Below are 16,879 nucleotides of genomic sequence, written 5' to 3'. Positions count from 1 at the left end.
CCAAGAGTTTGAGACCAACCTGGTCAGCCTGGTCAACATAGTGAGACACCATCTCTACAAAAATCTTAAAAAAAAAAATCAGCTGGGCATGGTTGGGCCTGCCTGTAGTTCCAGCTACAAGAGAGGCATGAGTATCTCTTGAGCCTAGGAGTTCAAGGTTGTAATGAGTTGTGATTGTGCCACTGCACTCCAGCCTGGATAACAGGAAGAGACTTTATCTCAAAAAAAAAAAAAAAAATTCTGGAATTTGGACTTTCATGATGGTACTGTGATTATCTTAAGAGAATACTCTTATTCTTAGGAAATACACCCTGAGGTAAAAGGCATACAATCTACTCTTCAATGGTTCACAAAAAAATAAATGTGTGTATGCAAAAAGAAAAATATGGCAAAATATTAAAAATTAGTGACTATGGATAAAGGGTATACAGAGGTCTACTGCACTATTCTTGCAACTTTCCTGTAAGTTTGAAATTATTTCAAAATAAAACGTTTAAGAAAATAGGACACTATTCTCCAGGCGGTTACTTATAAGCTCTAAGGAATAAAATTTTTAAGTACTACTAAAAATCACTCTGCAAAACTAACATAAAGTTACGAGAACTTCACAGTCAAAAATTACAAGACAAGAAGGCGTGGCACCATAAGCAACAGCCAGCAGAAACAAACAGCAGAATCATGTCTGCAAAGACTTCAGATACTGGATTATCAGGCACAAAATGTAAAGTAAGTATATTTAATAGATTTTTAAGAAATAAAAGAAATATTGAGAACATAACCAAGAAAAGGAATAAGACTACCCAAAAAAAGGATGATAGTCTTAAGAAGGAACTGAATAAAATGTCTAGAAACAAAAATATATAGTAAATGAAATTTTTAAAAACCCAATGGCCAGGTGCAGTGGCACATGCCTGTGCTCCCAGATACTTGGGAAGCTGAGACAGGAAGATGGCTTGAGTTCAGAAATTTGAGGTTGTAGTGTGCTATGATCGCCGCTATGAAGAGTCACTGCACTCCAGCCTGGGCAATATAGCAACACCCCATCTCTAACATAAATTTGTAAAACTCAAAGAACATGCTATAACATAGACTAACCTAGAAAACATGCTAAGTAAAATAAACCAGACACAAAAAGACAAATATTTTATGATTCCACTTACATGAAGTACCTAGAATAGTCAAATTTGTAGAGGCAGAAACTCAAATAGTGGTTGCCAGGAGCTAGAGAAAAGAGGAAATAAGGAATTACTGTCTAATGGGTACAAGTTTTGGTTCACGATGATGAAAAAGTTCTGGAGATCAGTAGTGGTGACAGATGCACAATGATGTGAATGCACTTAATGCCACCGAACTGTACACTTAAAAATGGTTAAATGGTAAATTCTATGTTATATGTATTTAACCATAATGAAAAAAATGGGCATAATAGTTAAATAAAAAGTTTTTAAATTCAATAAACTGGTTGAACACAGCTGAAGAGAGAAGTAGCTAACTTCAAGAAAAGTATCCAGAACACAATACAATACACAAAGATAATGAAATGGACAATATAAAAGACAGGTTAAGAGACACGGAGGTAGAGTAAGAAGATCTAACATACTTCAAATACAAGTTCCAAACAGAAAATATGGAAGACAAAATTTAAGAAAAAGGCCAAAAATTCTCCAAAATTGTTGAAAGACACTAATCTTCAGATTTGAAAACCTAGTTAATACCAAGCACGATAAATAAAAAGAAATCAACTTCCAAACATAAAAATGAAAATGCAGATCACCAAGAACAAAGTAGCAGTTCTAAAACTAGCCATAAAGAAACAACAGATTAGTCCAGGCACAGTGGCTTGCACCTGTAATCCCAGCATTTTGGGAGGCTGAGGCAGGTGGATCATGAGGTCAGGAGATGGAGACCATCCTAGCCAACATAGTGAAACCCCATCTCTACTGAAAATACAAAAATTAGCCAGGCGTGGTGGTACACACCTGTAATCCCAGCTACTCAGGAGGCTGAGGCAGGAGAATTGCTTGAACCCAGGAGGCAGAGGCTGCAGTGAGCTGAGATCGCGCCACTGCACTCCAGCCTGGCAACAGAGCAAGACTGGTCTCAAAAAAAAAGAAAAAAAAAAAAAAAAAGAAACAACAGATTAACTGTAAAGGACTGTCAATCACACTGTGTATTTTTCAACAGCAATAAAAGCCAGAAGATAATGAAATAAAATCTATAATGAACAAAGAAAAAACAACTGCTAATCTAGAATATATATTCAGGAAAACCAGTTTCAGGAATGAGACTAAGAAAAAGTTATTTTCCAACAAAAAGTTTTCCAACACACCCTCCCTAGGGAAAATTCTAAAAGATGTACTTCACACAAAGAAAAATGGTCCTAGATCAGAGGTCTCAGATGCAAATGAGAATAAGCAGACATCTGCAAATACAGTGTATAGGCAAATCAAAGTAACAGTGTTTAAAACAAAAGTATCTCATTTGTTGGAGGTCAGGGAGAACTAAAATAAAGCTACACAGAGTTTAACTTCCAAACTTCAAGACAGAGGGAAATGTTAAAAAAAAAAAAAAGACATTCATATAAAATTAAAACAAAAAGCAAGGTAATGATTAATATAAAATTCAGATGGCGGTTACTTAAAGAGTATGTCAGAGATCACAAGTAGTGAGAAACATGAACGGCCATCAAAGGTGCTGGCAGTGTTCTGTTTTTTAAAGTGGTTGGTCATACATGGTAGTTCATTATATAATTCTTTACACACACACACACACACACACACACACACACACACACATAATGATGTATGTCTTTGTAAGAATAAAAGTAAATTCTGAAAATCAATATAGAAGAAAAAAATTCAAAAATCTATGGCTCCTCCCCAAAAATTTAGAATACTTCACAAACACTGGTCTTCAAAATTCAAAGAAAAAGATGAATTATTTCATTCAACAAATACTTACTGAGTGCCTAATCTGCCTACATGTGAGGTGAGAGGTGTCATGAAGATGTGTGATCTCTCTTCTCTCTCGTCTTCCTAACCTTATAGAGCTGCACTAATACAGTAGCCACCAGCCCCATGTGGGTATTCATATTTAAATTAATTAAAATTAAATTCAATTAAAAATTTAGTTCTCCTATAACACTAGATATATTTTAAGTGCTCAGAAGCTATATAGGGGCCACCATATTGAACAGCATAGACATAGAACATTTCCATCATTTCAGAAAGCTCTTAGTACTACCATATTTTATTATGATAGAAATACATTGATAATTTTAAAATCTTAAATAGAAAAAAAAATTTTAACGGATTAAATCCCCCTTAAAAGTCATTTTATTTCTATGAAACTACAGCTTCTTAGTAGTATTTAAAACAGCTTGCTATTTATTAAAAATACATAGGAAGTATCAGAAATTGTTTACCATCTCCTATGTTCCAACAAAAACCATCAGACACAGGGTTTAAAAATAAATAAACAGCCGGGCGCGGTGGCTCACACCTGTAATTCCAGCACTTTGGGAGGCCGAGGTGGGCGGATCACAAGGTCAGGAGATTGAGACCATCCTGGCTAACATGGTGAAACCCCGTCTCTACTAAAAAATACAAAAAATTAGCCGGGCGTGGTGGTGGGCGCCTGTAGTCCCAGCTATTCGGGAGGCTGAGGCAGGAGAATGGCGTGAACCCAGAAGGCGGAGCTTGCAGTGAGCCAGGATCATGCCACTGCACTCCAGCCTGGGCAACAGAGCGAGACTCTGTCTCAAAAAATAAATAAATAAATAAATAAATAAATAAATAAATAAATAAATAAGCTACTATTAAATATTTAAGCACAGTACTACTAACCAGTGATAAAGCCATGTCATAGGGATATAAAAAGCCGCAGGATGAACACTGCACTCTCTCTTAGGAGCATCAATTTTAGTTAAGAGTATTTTAGGCCGGGCGCGGTGGCTCACGCCTGTAATCCCAGCACTTTGGGAGGCCGAGGCAGGCAGATCACGAGGTCAGGAGATTGAGACCATCTTGGCTAACACGGTGAAACCCCGTTTCTACTAAAAATACAAAAAATTAGCCAGGCGTGTTGGCGGGCGCCTGTAGTCCCAGCTACTGGTGAGGCTGAGGCAGGAGAATGGCGTGAACCCAGGAGAGGCGGAGCTTGCAGTGAGCTGAGATCGCGCCACTGCACTCCAACCTGGGGGACACAGCGAGACTCCGTCTCAAACCAAAAAAAAAAAAAAAAAAAAAGTATTTTAAAATACTGTCGACATGCATGTAAGATAGCAAAATGCAACATTTATATAAATTTTAAAATATAAAACCCTACAGGCATCAAAAACTTCAATTTATAGCAGGCACACTTTGGGCTGCATTCCTAGACTTCTGAGGGTACTATTCATCCACATTTCTGCCATTGGGAGTACTTTAAGAGAAAAATTTAAGCACTGTTAAAATAAATGAATTAAACATTTTTTATTTACCAGCAACAATGATACACAACATAACTCTATAAACCCATATCATTTTAATATCTAAAGCAGCAAACCCACAGTTTTCTTTAAAATTAACAGAGGGTCCAAGCTATTTCTACTTAACCTGAACATTTTGCCTTGGACATTCTAATAGAATTTAAATATTTCTATAGCATTCCCAACTTTTAAAATTACGCAACCAAAAACACTCAAAAGAAACAAATGTTAAGCCTTAATTTAACAGTCACCTAGGCTAGGTTTGCACCTTAAGTTCCCCACCCCCACACCCCCCCCCGTCCCTCCCCCACAGCCGCCTGCCCACCCAAGTGAACCAGGGAGTCAATAAGCTCCTCATCTAGACAACTGATGCAATTTCAATAAGCACTTATGTTCATAATTGGTTTGTGTCCCCAGGAGGACTTCTGTGACTCCACTTACATAACCCATTACGCACAGTGCTGCACTATTCTTTCTCTAGAAAGCATTTTGAATACTGATATTTGTACAAGGTTTACTTGCTGTATTAATAAAAAGGCTTTTCTTGCTCTATCTTTCCTGCAGAAGAAGTGAAATGGAAAGCCAATTTCTGCTGCTTCACTATGTCAAAGGCGAGTTATTTATCTTGTTGGCTAATCAACAGAGTAATAACTTAAAGCAGCACCCCCAGGCAGCGCCCACAGTTCAACAGTTTTCTCCAGAGGCTCTGGTTGAGAAACACAGTCTTAAACAAGTAATTTAGAGCTACTTGTGTGAACTCAACTGAAAACAGTCTGAACTGCTCCTTGAAATATGTTATAAGTATTGACTGTGAATCTTGACAAAATTAAATTCAATGGTGGCGAGAATCACAATACGTCCTCTGTAGGCTAACACAAGGGCAGAATGTACCCCAAACCTTCTTTAATATGCATAAATATGTGGATGAATAGTCTCCTCCAATCCCTCAGATTCTGTTTAAGCCAAGATTTTCGGATTTCACAGAACCATAATCTTTAAAAAGGGGCACGAGGAAGGAGAGGGTGACCAGCATAGGGCTGCCAACTTTTATTCTGCCAAGGACATTTAAAAAACAAAAACAAAAACTACCGATTACCCATCACCACTATTTCATAAAAGAACTAAGCGCCCATCGAAAATGGCAAAAGATAATTTTAGAAAAACATATCAATAGATTTAGCTTTAAAGAAGCCAACTACATTCTCCTTTCACTCAAAGGAAAACTCTGTCATGAACTGACACTACTCCACAGTCCAGCACTTCGGGAGCCACAAGCTTAAGTGGCTAGCTCCCACTGAGAAAAGGAAAGTGATGATACGTAATGCCCAAACCAAATATTAACCTATTCAATAATGAGGAAATGTAAGCTTAGAGAAGTTTAGGGACTCTCCCAAGGTTGAATACCAAGGATTTTGACACGGGTCTATCTAATTCTAGAGTCAGAGGTCCCAGCCATTATCCTAAGTTTCCTCTAATATTCTTCCAGTGGTATAACAATCCACCCTCATCTAGTCACCTTTGTGACCAATGACAACCAAGGAATTTCCAAGACAGCTGGAGGGAGTGAGGGGTGTACTCCCTGGCCATCATTTAGACTGAAGCTAAATGGAACTCCTGACCTTTGCCTCATTAATACCAGGCTTACTGAAACTAAGCCAAACAGCCCAGACAAAGCACACACAAAACCCCCTGCCTCCAACAACACTGACACAGGACTCTTTCGACATTCCCAAGTGCCTGTGATATAGTGGAAAACATATTCCTGAAAAACAAAAGGAATGTATTAATTCTCAAGAAGGAAATAAACACTTCCATGGTAACTCAGTCTAAAAATAATAAACTTGCCCTCAAAAAGTTACAACTCTAAGCCTCATTCTGCAAACTATTATAATCTTTTACACATTAATACTCAAGTTCCCCCTATTTAAATACCTAAACAGAAAACCACACAAAATTCTATAAATTTACAGTTCTTAAACAGTTTCCAAAATAAAATATGTAACTTTCATATGTGTTATCATATAATGGATAAAAGTATCTTATTCTATCCCTCTAATATAATCCAAACATTATAAGCCAAAACTAATCATGTTAATCAAAAGAACTTATAAAATAGAGTTGGAAGAAAAATATGTAATCAAATGCCATTTTCTATAAAAAGCAATATTAACAGCCTTAATGAGATGTAAATATTATCTTTGAATATTCAGAGGTTCTTGATTTTGAAACCAAAATCGATGTCATACACATAAATAAGTGAAATACTGTATCAGAGATTTGCTTCCAACTCCTCACATACCACTTGCCAAACAAATGTCCAAAAGAAACAAGCTAACATAGCTTTTAAGTAACCAAATCTGACACTCTGGATGAAATGAGTCTGAAGTAGTTTGTCCTCCCTGAAACAGGGTAAAGATAGCATAGTATTCTTGCTACCCAGGGCAAGAAAACTGTATTTCCCAATTGGATTTTTAATGATCAGATTCTTTCTACTCCGTGTGAACCTACAGTGTGAAGAAGCAGTGGACATACTATCAAATTCTTTACCCACTGCATAAAATAAATCACTTAGCATATTTCCTTCTGTTTTAAACAGATGCCATTTAAAACAGAAGTTTTTTTTTTCTTTCCCCTCTACATTCTCCCTTGGCACTTTCATCTTCTTACACAGATTCAACCAGTACACCTATTTGTATTATTCACTAAACCCATGTTTAATATATGCCTAGTCCTGACCTCTCCCCTTAACCACAAATCCACATTTCCAAAAGCCTTTGGACATTTCCAGCGTTTGGCAAGTATACAAAAAAGTCAACAAATCCAAAACTGATCTCATTACGTACCTCCTTGCCCGTATTTCTAGTAAGAGTACCACCGTCAACATCTCCGACACTTAAAAAGTGTAATCTTCAGCTGGGCGCAGTGGCTCACACCTGTAATCCCAGCACTTTGGGAGGCTGAGGCAGGCGGATCACGAGGTCAAGAGATCGAGACCATCCTGGTCAACATGGTGAAACCCCGTCTCTACTAAAAATACAAAAGTTAGCTGGGCGTGGTGGTGAGCACCTGTAGTCCCAGCTATTCGGGAAGATGAAGCAGGACAATCACTTGAACCCAGGAGGCGGAGGTTGCAGTGAGCCAAGATCACGCCACCGCACTCCAGCCTGGCAACAAAGCTAGACTCTGTCTCAAAAACAAAAGTGTAATCTTCACCTTCCATCTCCTCCAAACCTGCTCCAAAAACCCCTCCTCCTCGCCACCCACCTACGACATTGAGGTCCTGCAGAGCCTTCACTCTAATTCCATTACCACTGCCCTTGCCCAGTATTTATACTACATTGAAAGTCAGCTTTCCACATCAAATCATTCTGCACACTACTCTATTAGACCTTGGTAACTTCTCATTACCTCCCAAACGTCGAACTTTTTTTCCCCAAATGTCAAACTTCTAAAAGCAGCACTTAAACATGCTCCACAATCCTGCCCCCACTTAAAATTCAAACCTCATCTCTAATTCCCAAAAATGAACAGTATATTCCAGGTAATCTGGTCCACTAACTTTTCTCCAAGTACACAATGAACTTTCCCACCTCCACACTTCTGCTCACATCATTCTCTTTATTTGAAAGGCCTTCTTCACCCACCTACTCCCAATCCATAAATCTTTGTCTTAGAAAAGTCTTATTCTCTGTAACATTAAACTCAGGTTACCAGTTTATTGGGGAGCAACATGATGCAGTAGAAACACACAGGCTTTGGCACCAGACAGATTTGGATTCAAATTGGGGCTGTTACATGCTAGCCACATAGCCCAGGCAAGTAACTTAACATATTTGAGCCTCACTGTCCTCATTATTAAGGTACTTACATATTGCTGTGAAGCTAAGAAAATGCTGTAAACAGCAACTAGCATTAAGTCTGTTCAGTAAATGCTCAATAAACAGTAGCTTCTGAGCTATCTCCACAAATTTCCATTACTTAAGCTAAAAATGAACCCTTTCTTCTTTTGTATAATTTACTCCAAACTTTACCTCAAACCACCCATAAGTATTTACAAATGTTTATGTTGTAAATGTTTACACAAATCTTATATCCCCTTCTAGATTTCAAATTCCTAAAAACCAAAAGTTTAATCTTTATATCCTAAAATGCCTAGTATAGCGCTTTTCATGAAGCACTCAACACCCATCGCCAATGTTAAGTCCCAATTACAAAAAAAATTGTTAGTATGCCTAAAGAATACAACTCAACTCTTCATGATTTCAGAAATTATTACCAAAACATGAAACTCAACTGTTATGGCTATACCTTTATTTGCTCCTTACATAGTTACCTAACATAGCATAGCAAATAGCATGCTATGCATAACATAGCATAACATGCATAGCAAATGCTCAGTGTTTGTTGAATTGACTTGTATAATATAAAAATACAATCAGTATCTGATTTTCCCCAATCACCTTTCTCTGCTCTTAAAACTCTTGAAGTATTTCCCTTAAAAATACATTGTCATACCTGCAAATCTGTAACTACATCTAACTTAACTATTTTTCCAGATTCTCTCAATTCCAATATTCCAATCTTATGCTCTAAATAATTAAGTACTTCACATGTGGAAGAAGCTACAGTTTCTATCTAAATTTAAAAGTTGTGCAAATATGCTGGGGATGGTGGCTCACAACTGTAATCCCAGCACTTTGGAAGGCCGAGATGGGAGGATCACTTGAGCCCAGGAGTTCAAGACCAGCCTGGGCAACATAGTGAAACCTCGGCTCTACAAAAAAAAAAAAAAAAAAAATTAGCCAGGTGTGGTGGTTGGTGCCTATAGTCCTAGCCACTCAGGAGTCTGAGACAGAAGGACTGCTTGAGTCCAGGAGTTGGAGGCTGCAGTGAGCTATGATGGGGCCACTGTGCTGCAGCCTGGGCAGCAGAATGAGGCTGTCTCGAAAAGAAAGAAAAAAGAAAAGAAAGGAAGAGGAAAAAGAAAAGTTGTGCAGCTAATCTCTCCACAATTTTTTCCAAGGACTTTAAAAATCATCTACCCTTTGCCTGTTCAAAATCAACAACCTTGAAATAAATTTTCCTTTGCATAGGAAAAGCTCACTGAACTTGTCACTTCAGTCTATTTTTCCTGATTCATGATACCACCTCCCCTTTCAGGGGTGGGAGGAAAGAGAATGACATAAGTACCCAAAAAACTACAGAATAAACCCTAATCTACACACAAGATGAGAGTTGCAGATAGCGTCACTGGTTTCAAGAAGGTGATTTGTGAATACTTTACGCTGCAAAAACAGTGGCCATCTGCTAATAGCAATAATCTGCAGTAACTGCATTCCCTTATAAAAAGTTTTTAAATCACCATTTATTGTGGAAAACCCATATTTCCTACAAACCTTTCAGCAGTAAAGTTTACTACCTAAAATCTGTTCACTAAACCTACCTACATCACTTTCTCCCCTAGGAAATCCTCAGTTTATCCGAAGTAAACACTTCATGGAATAAGTTTAAACAAAACATCTCTGCCCACCTGTGTGAAACTCTGCATTGCAGCAACAATTTTAACAGTGTAAGGAATCTCTCAAGAAAATCCAAGAACAATTTTTCCTTAAGAAAAATGACAGTTCCAAATATGAAGGTAAACAAACTTTGGGAGAAAGGATATAACTGTCCAACTCTTTAAAATCAATTCGTACAGCCTCTGAATGAACTCATCATACAACTGTGACATCAGATAGCCAAAAGAATTAAGAGTGTAGATTAGAGAAAAGCATCTTTTTTTTTTTAGTATGTCTGCAAAAAAAGGCGGGGGAGGGGGTGTCTAAACTACTGATTTTCCTTAAGCAAGTTTTTTCTTTAAGTTTACTTCAACAACAGCTTCAGCAAGCTTTCAAGTGAGTAAAGATGATACAGAGCATGCTGGTGCCACAGCGACCTACGTATCCAGGACCGGTTCCGAGCCCAGTCCAAATCGATCCCGGACAACCCTGAAGCAAATCTGGATGAAAAGCCCTGCAAAAGATCCCTGGCATGTACAGGCAGCGCCCCACCCTGGAGGGAAAAGACGACACCCCTGGGACCCGGGTTAATTACTGACCCCAGGACAGACCCAGAGGAGGCGAAAAGTCGGGAACTGGAGCCCAAGATTGAGTCTGGTGTCCAGCTACTACCCCAGGCCGGACACAGAATACCAAACTAGGGAGCGGCGAGGTTTGGGGCAGCACACATGAGGGGGGTCGGACGGACGAACAGAGGCCCAGCCCATCCCCACTCTCGAGTCCCAACAGCAACAACAGCTCTGGGAACCCCCTCCCTGGCTCCGCCCCGCCCACCCCATGGACCCACAGCCAGCTCTTCCCGTCCCGCTGGCCCGGAGAAGTCCGCGGCGGTCGACAATCCCCTTCCCCGGACGCCGGCAGCCGAGCCCTCAGCCCGGATCCCGAAGCGGGCAGCGGGGGCACGAGAACGCCAGCTCCGACGCGGGCCCGCGGCCGTCCCAGTCCGTTTCCCTAGCCACTCACCGTCCGCCCAGGTGCTGAGAGGGAGCAGGGCGCGGGTCGGCGGGCGCGAACCCCCAGACTCCGACCCGCGCTGGAGCCCCTACTTGGAGCAGATCGAGTCTCAGCCGCTGTGCCTACAAGGCCTCTCTCCGGCCCGAATCTTGGAAAAGCACTTCCGGGGGAGCGGGGGAGGGAAGGGTTTTGGCACCGGAACTGCTCTCAGCCCGGAGCTGCCAGGGCCTCCAGGGCGGGGCGGGGCCTCTCTCGCCGGGCGCCCACAGATCAGCCTCTGGGCTCCTAACTAACCCTTTCCGCCCCGCGCCTCCTCGATTCCCCGGCTACTGCTGCACCCTTTGCTTTAACTGCTGTTTGAGTTGTTTTACTCCAGCCAGCTAATTTTACAAATAAGGAAACCGAGGCTCGGAGAATTAGGTGCAAGAATCCAGTGCCTACACCCGGCCTCCCGACTCCCTTCAGTGTACTCTACGCTCCAATCTGCCTCCTTTAAAAAATAATGATAATAGTTAACATTTATTGAACGCTTACTACGTGGTAGGCACTGTATTAAGTCCCTTCGGGTGCATTAACTTATTTAATCATCCCCAAACTCCTTGGGGTTGGTGCTATTATCTACGTCTTGCAGGGGAGAAAAACGGTCAAAGATACCAAACCCAATCTCACAAATGTTGGTTGATTTTAATTCACGTGTGTATAAATCTCATCTACCTATACCAAGATTTTGAAATTATTTAAAAACAGGGCTCAAACTATATTCCTATATTCTGTCATCACTGGTGACTTCAACAGAGGCGAGAGCTGGGGTTGGGGGGTTGGGGGGGTTGGGGTGGGGATCTGGAATCTTTTTGCTTGTCTCCTTTTATTTACTTTTATTTTTTCACCCTGGCAAGTTATAAAATCATCTCTGCATTGTAGGAATCCAAAATGATAATGCATGATAAACATTTCAGAATGTCTGGCATTGGATAAAAGTTAACGATTCTTATACCTCATCAGCAATAGGCAATAGAAAAGATTAGTTAAGGAAATAAGAAAGAGTAGGGGTTGGCCGGGCGCGGTGGCTCACGCCTGTAATCCCAGCACTTTGGGAGGCCGAGGCGGGTGGATCATGAGGTCAGGAGATCGAGACCATCCTGGCTAACAAGGTGAAACCCCGTCTCTACTAAAAATACAAAAAATTAGCCGGGCGCGGTGGCGGGCGCCTGTAGTCCCAGCTACTCGGGAGGCTGAGGCAGGAGAATGGCGTGAACCCGGGAAGCGGAGCTTGCAGTGAGCCGAGATTGCGCCACTGCAGTCCGCAGTCCGGCCTGGGCGACAGAGCGAGACTCCGTCTCAAAAAAAAAAAAAAAAAAAAAAAGAAAGAGTAGGGGTTTTTACAACTGGAAAAATACAGGTGCTTGTGAAGCTCCATGCAGTGATAATATGAGGACCCACAGAGTTACATACCAGACAGGGAAAAGGGATGGAAAGGAGGAGGGCGTGGGATTCCTCAGCCACAAAATCAGAAAGGCACCAGATATCTGAGGCAGATTCTGTATCTGGGATGCAGGGAAAGAAAAAAAAGCCTCTTAGCAATGCATACTATCTGCAAAACAAATGTACTAACATCTCTTGAAACTGGGGGGGGGGGGGGTGGCGGGGAAGATTTTTAAATGTTTCTACTATGAAAGGCAGGGGAAAGGAAAAAAGTTGAAAACCCATTATTACAAATTTAAGATGCAAACAATGCCACTGCTCTTGGCTTTATTTACAGGGCTTTCTTACTTTATTTTTGTGATCGCAGAAGTGTTGGCAAATACTTCCGTAATACTCAAATTCAAGCAGCCTTTTGTGCCTCAGAGTGTGAAGAAGTAAAAAACAGCGTGGGTTGGCAGGACTCACCGACATCTCTTTTTACTCAAGGCCTAAAGGGATAGTGAGAGGAATCCTGAATCACAGATATTATCAGGCTCTGTGTGGGATGCAGAGGTGCTAGAGGTTAGTCATTTAATCTGGTCATCTAACTGGTAAATGGAGCCGCCTGGGTTTGAATTTGCAGACCATATTCTCAGATGCTTTTCACCACTATCCCAGTGGTTCTCAAATTTGAGAGTGCATCAGAACCACCTAAAGGGCTTGTTAAAACAGATTGCTGGGCCCCACCCCTAGAAGTCCCTGGACTAAGCCTCTCAACATCATCTGTGAACTTGTTACAGATGCACATTACTGGGTCCCGCCCCAGATCTTATGAATCAGAAGCTCTGGGGTGGGACCCAGCAATCTGTGTTTTAACAGGCCCTCCAGGAGATTCTGATATACTGTCAAGTTTAAGAACCACTGCATAAGATATTAAGAACTAATATCTTGTCTTCCACATATTCCTCTTTTTTTCTAATTTTTTCCAACAGGGATAACTCTTACCGGAGCAAAAGTTCTTGCCGTTGAATTAAATGACCTATTGAAGGATTTTTATTCATGTTTTGCTCTCAGTGAAAGAAGATGAGGCTAGAAAAAAAATTACTATAATGGAGGATTCATTTTGATTACTTTAAATTTGTACTGAAATGTAACCAGATAATACTGGGTTGGGGGTGGAACTAATATTATTTGGGAATTACTCTATGCCAAGGCTTTACACGCGTTTTCTAAATTAATCTTCACTACATTGCTATGAGGTTTTATGGTCTTAATTTTAGAGATGAGGATAACTGAGACTTAGGTGAAGTAATTGACTTAAGGCCACATTCTTGTTAAGGGGCAGAATCAGGATTGTGCAAAGATCCCTCTAATTCCAAAACTCATGTTCTTTCCACTTCGTGGCTGGAGCCTGGAGAACCAAATTCCACTGTGGGCTCCACTGCCCCAGCTATGCAACATTGATTAAGCGATTTAATCTCTATTTCGATTTCTCCATCTATAAATAATGTTATCATAAATCTGCCCCACCCACACTGGAATGTCAGAACAAATGAGGAAATGAAAGTGTAAGCACTTTCAGCTTTTTAAAGAAAAACAGTAAAAAGGCAAGTTATTAAGGCATTGTATGTTTAGGCAAGTGTTGCTGTGTGATTCTGGACGGTGAAGTCTTTCCCAATTATCTCCTGATTCATAAAGAAGAGTGCCAAAGAAAAAGTTGTTTGACTTCATTTACCAGTGTCTCCTGGAGGTAGAAGATGACAGAGGATTGTATGCATCTCTTGCAAAAATTACAAGCAATCTCTCACCAGGCTCATTCGGCTCCAGGTTGTTGCCAAATTGCTGGCCCATCCTCATCTTAGAGATGTCTTTTCTCCTAACCCTTTTCTTCTGTCCATTCCAGGCATCCCTCTACCCGCCTGCCTCTACCCACTAGGAAAGACTTAAAATTCCTTTTACTTTATTATGTAGAAGGATTTAACTCTCAATCCTCATCTCAGGCCAGACTCCAGGCCACCTTTATTGACACAATTACCATGTTGTGCAATTCCAGGGGGTGCTATTCACAAAGAATACAACATGAATGATGCTCAAGAGGTGACAAACACAAATGATGCCCCCTGGAACTGTGCAAGGCTGTGGCCCTGTCTATGCATAGCTCCTACCCCCAAAATCCATTAAGGTGTTTTGTTAAACAAAAGAGCCATCTACTTGGGTGTCCACCCTTTGCCAAGCTTTGAAATAATGGGGTTCTTTGATTTTGTTTGTTGGTTTAATGCAGATCTGATCCTAACCACACAGCTTAAGTTCTAACTTCCACACTCTACTGTGACACTTTTCACTCTTTTCTGTGACATTGTTGCCTATCTCCCCACTAGACTTGTGAGTTTCTGAAGACCTTTTTATATTTTGTCTTCCTCATCTTTTATTCATGCCTCAAAAACATTTGCTTTGAATAACAGCACAGTGTAACTAGTACATATGTATTAGTGTAAATATTTATGGCAAAGATTTGACAAATGTATTGTTTGATCCAGAGAGTTTTGTACCATGAAATAAATTGAGTCAAAATTTTAAAATTGAGAAATGTCATGTAAAAAAAAATCCCAATTTCTGGCATCCCTTGAAAATTTAAACACTCTGGCAGACATCTGGCATGCATCCACAAGGCATCAGTGACTTTAGCTAGATGCAGCATCTCTCTTCATCAAACAGTGCAATGAGTTGGCCTTACCCACATGTGGTATCTTTATGGTAGACAGAGTTTGGGACCACTGGTCCCAAAACATCATATGGATGTTTTAAAGAAACAAGTATAGAATTTTGCCTTATATATTTTACATGTGCTCATAACTATTCAATGTATTTTGAGGTAATTTTAAATTGTTTTTCTGGGATAGCAATTGTGGGGTACTACACTGTACTTTTTTTTTTTTTTTTTTGAGACAGAGTTTCATTCTGTCACCCAGCCTGGAGTGCAGTGGCACGATCTCAGCTCACCGCAACCTCCGCCTCTCAAGTTCAAGTGATTCTCCTGCCTCAGTCTCCCGAGTAGCTGGGATTACAGGTGCCCACTACCATGCCCGGTTAATTTTTGTATTTTTAGTAGAGACCGGGTTTCACCATGTTGGGCCAGGCTGGTCTAGAACTTCTGACTTCAGGTGATATGCCCGCCTCAGCCTCCCAAAGTGCTGGGATTACAGGTGTAAGCCACCATGCCTGGCCACGTTGTACCATTTCTAAACAAGCAAGGCAAGTGCAGACATCAAATTATAAATATCATTACCACCAACGTTTTAATGGAGTTGTAGCTAATGTTATTTGTCAACAGCCTTGGAAAGACAAAAAATGAATAATAGCAATTACTTAAATAGATTTGATGACAAACGACCCTATAGGGTATATATATATTTTTTTAATTTATTTTTTCCTGGATGGAGACACAAGCAAAGCTAGTTCAGGTAGCTAGCAAATGATGAGGTCAGGATTAGAATCCAAGCAGTCTGTCCCCAGAGACACACTCATAACCACTAAACTAATATTTATTGATCCTTTTCTATGTGCCATGGCCATGACTGCCTCCCAACTGAAAGAGACAACCAGATTTATAGAAGAATGTATAAATCTCTTCCAGGCCTTTTACAGGTCACTATAATAAACCCACATAGATCCTTTTCCCTCTCCCACCCCTCATATTGACATGTTTATAATCATTTTTGAAATGGACAAACTGCCACATGTCTAAAACTTCTTTTAATTCCCATATAGTTCTTGCATGAAGTTTGTTTCTGTTGAAAGTTATCATAACGAATCCTATGCACGTGGTTTCACAAACAACGGAAGAAATTTGAAGCCATATAATACTGACAGTGAAAACCAGTATCTCTAGTCAAATCCTGCTTGCGTGGAGAAATGGGAGATGTCAAGGTTGAATTTGAGCAAAAATGTCACATTGACACAAATGCAGAGAAAGTTCAAAAATAGAGAACTTAAAAGGGAATGCTCATCAACCTTTGGTATATTTTACATTTAATTTTTAACTAAATATCATGAAAAAGTACTGGAACTGGCACTTTTCTTTAAAAGGCTTAAATTAATTAAATTTCTGTTGTCCACATTGAATTACGTAGTATCAGGAATTTAAGAGGTTGCCTTCCACTCTTACTCCTTTTTTATCAAAACACTGCCCATCTTACCTTGCCTCAGCTTCTCTTTCTGCAAAATATGCATGATAAATGCATCTTTATATCTTAGAGATGTTGTGAGACATAGCTAATAAATGATTACACAGCATAGCTCTTTGAAGTATAAAGCACTGCATAATTACTAAATACTATAATAATCATCCTCATAATAATAGTAATTTTCAACCAGCACATCAACCAGACCCAGATGCCTTTAGTCACCTTCCAGTTAGACAAAAGTGTATATACCAACTATTAAATCAAATAAAAATCTTAAACCACAGACTGGCTCTACTCCCTTCCTCTTTCCTATG

At 40.1% G+C, this 16,879-nt stretch overlaps 1 protein-coding gene across 14 annotated transcripts in view, besides 3 other annotated features; it reads right to left on the bottom strand.

The window, feature by feature from the left end:
* Positions 1–11,132, bottom strand: part of FRS2 (fibroblast growth factor receptor substrate 2) — a 109,406-nt gene extending 98,274 nt beyond the window's left edge. For 11 of the 14 annotated variants that reach the window (XM_017018718.2, NM_001278355.2, XM_047428121.1 and 8 more), the window contains exon 1: positions 10,990–11,132. The gene's annotated coding sequence lies outside the window, so the exon portion shown is untranslated. Of the gene's footprint in view, positions 1–1,160; positions 1,222–7,311; positions 10,728–10,813; positions 10,832–10,989 lie in introns of those variants that run through there. The other 3 variants (NM_001042555.3, XM_047428122.1, XM_047428119.1) reach the window with 3 other exon arrangements.
* Positions 10,739–10,788: an enhancer, noted in NCBI's record as "active region_6651". NCBI's record gives its function as "activates an Ori minimal core promoter by ATAC-STARR-seq in GM12878 lymphoblastoid cells {active_cell/tissue: GM12878}" and the evidence as "EXISTENCE:reporter gene assay evidence [ECO:0000049][PMID:35858748]".
* Positions 10,960–11,461: an enhancer, noted in NCBI's record as "H3K27ac hESC enhancer chr12:69863839-69864340 (GRCh37/hg19 assembly coordinates)". NCBI's record gives its function as "activates a minimal SCP1, AML or CMV promoter by ChIP-STARR-seq in primed H9 embryonic stem cells {active_cell/tissue: H9 hESC(primed)}" and the evidence as "EXISTENCE:reporter gene assay evidence [ECO:0000049][PMID:30033119]".
* Positions 14,132–14,745: an enhancer, noted in NCBI's record as "OCT4-NANOG-H3K4me1 hESC enhancer chr12:69860555-69861168 (GRCh37/hg19 assembly coordinates)". NCBI's record gives its function as "activates a minimal SCP1, AML or CMV promoter by ChIP-STARR-seq in primed H9 embryonic stem cells {active_cell/tissue: H9 hESC(primed)}" and the evidence as "EXISTENCE:reporter gene assay evidence [ECO:0000049][PMID:30033119]".

This window comes from Homo sapiens, chromosome 12 (assembly GCF_000001405.40).
Source record: "Homo sapiens chromosome 12, GRCh38.p14 Primary Assembly".
Lineage (NCBI taxonomy): Eukaryota > Metazoa > Chordata > Mammalia > Primates > Hominidae > Homo > Homo sapiens.
This window is presented reverse-complemented; position numbering and strand designations above follow the sequence as displayed.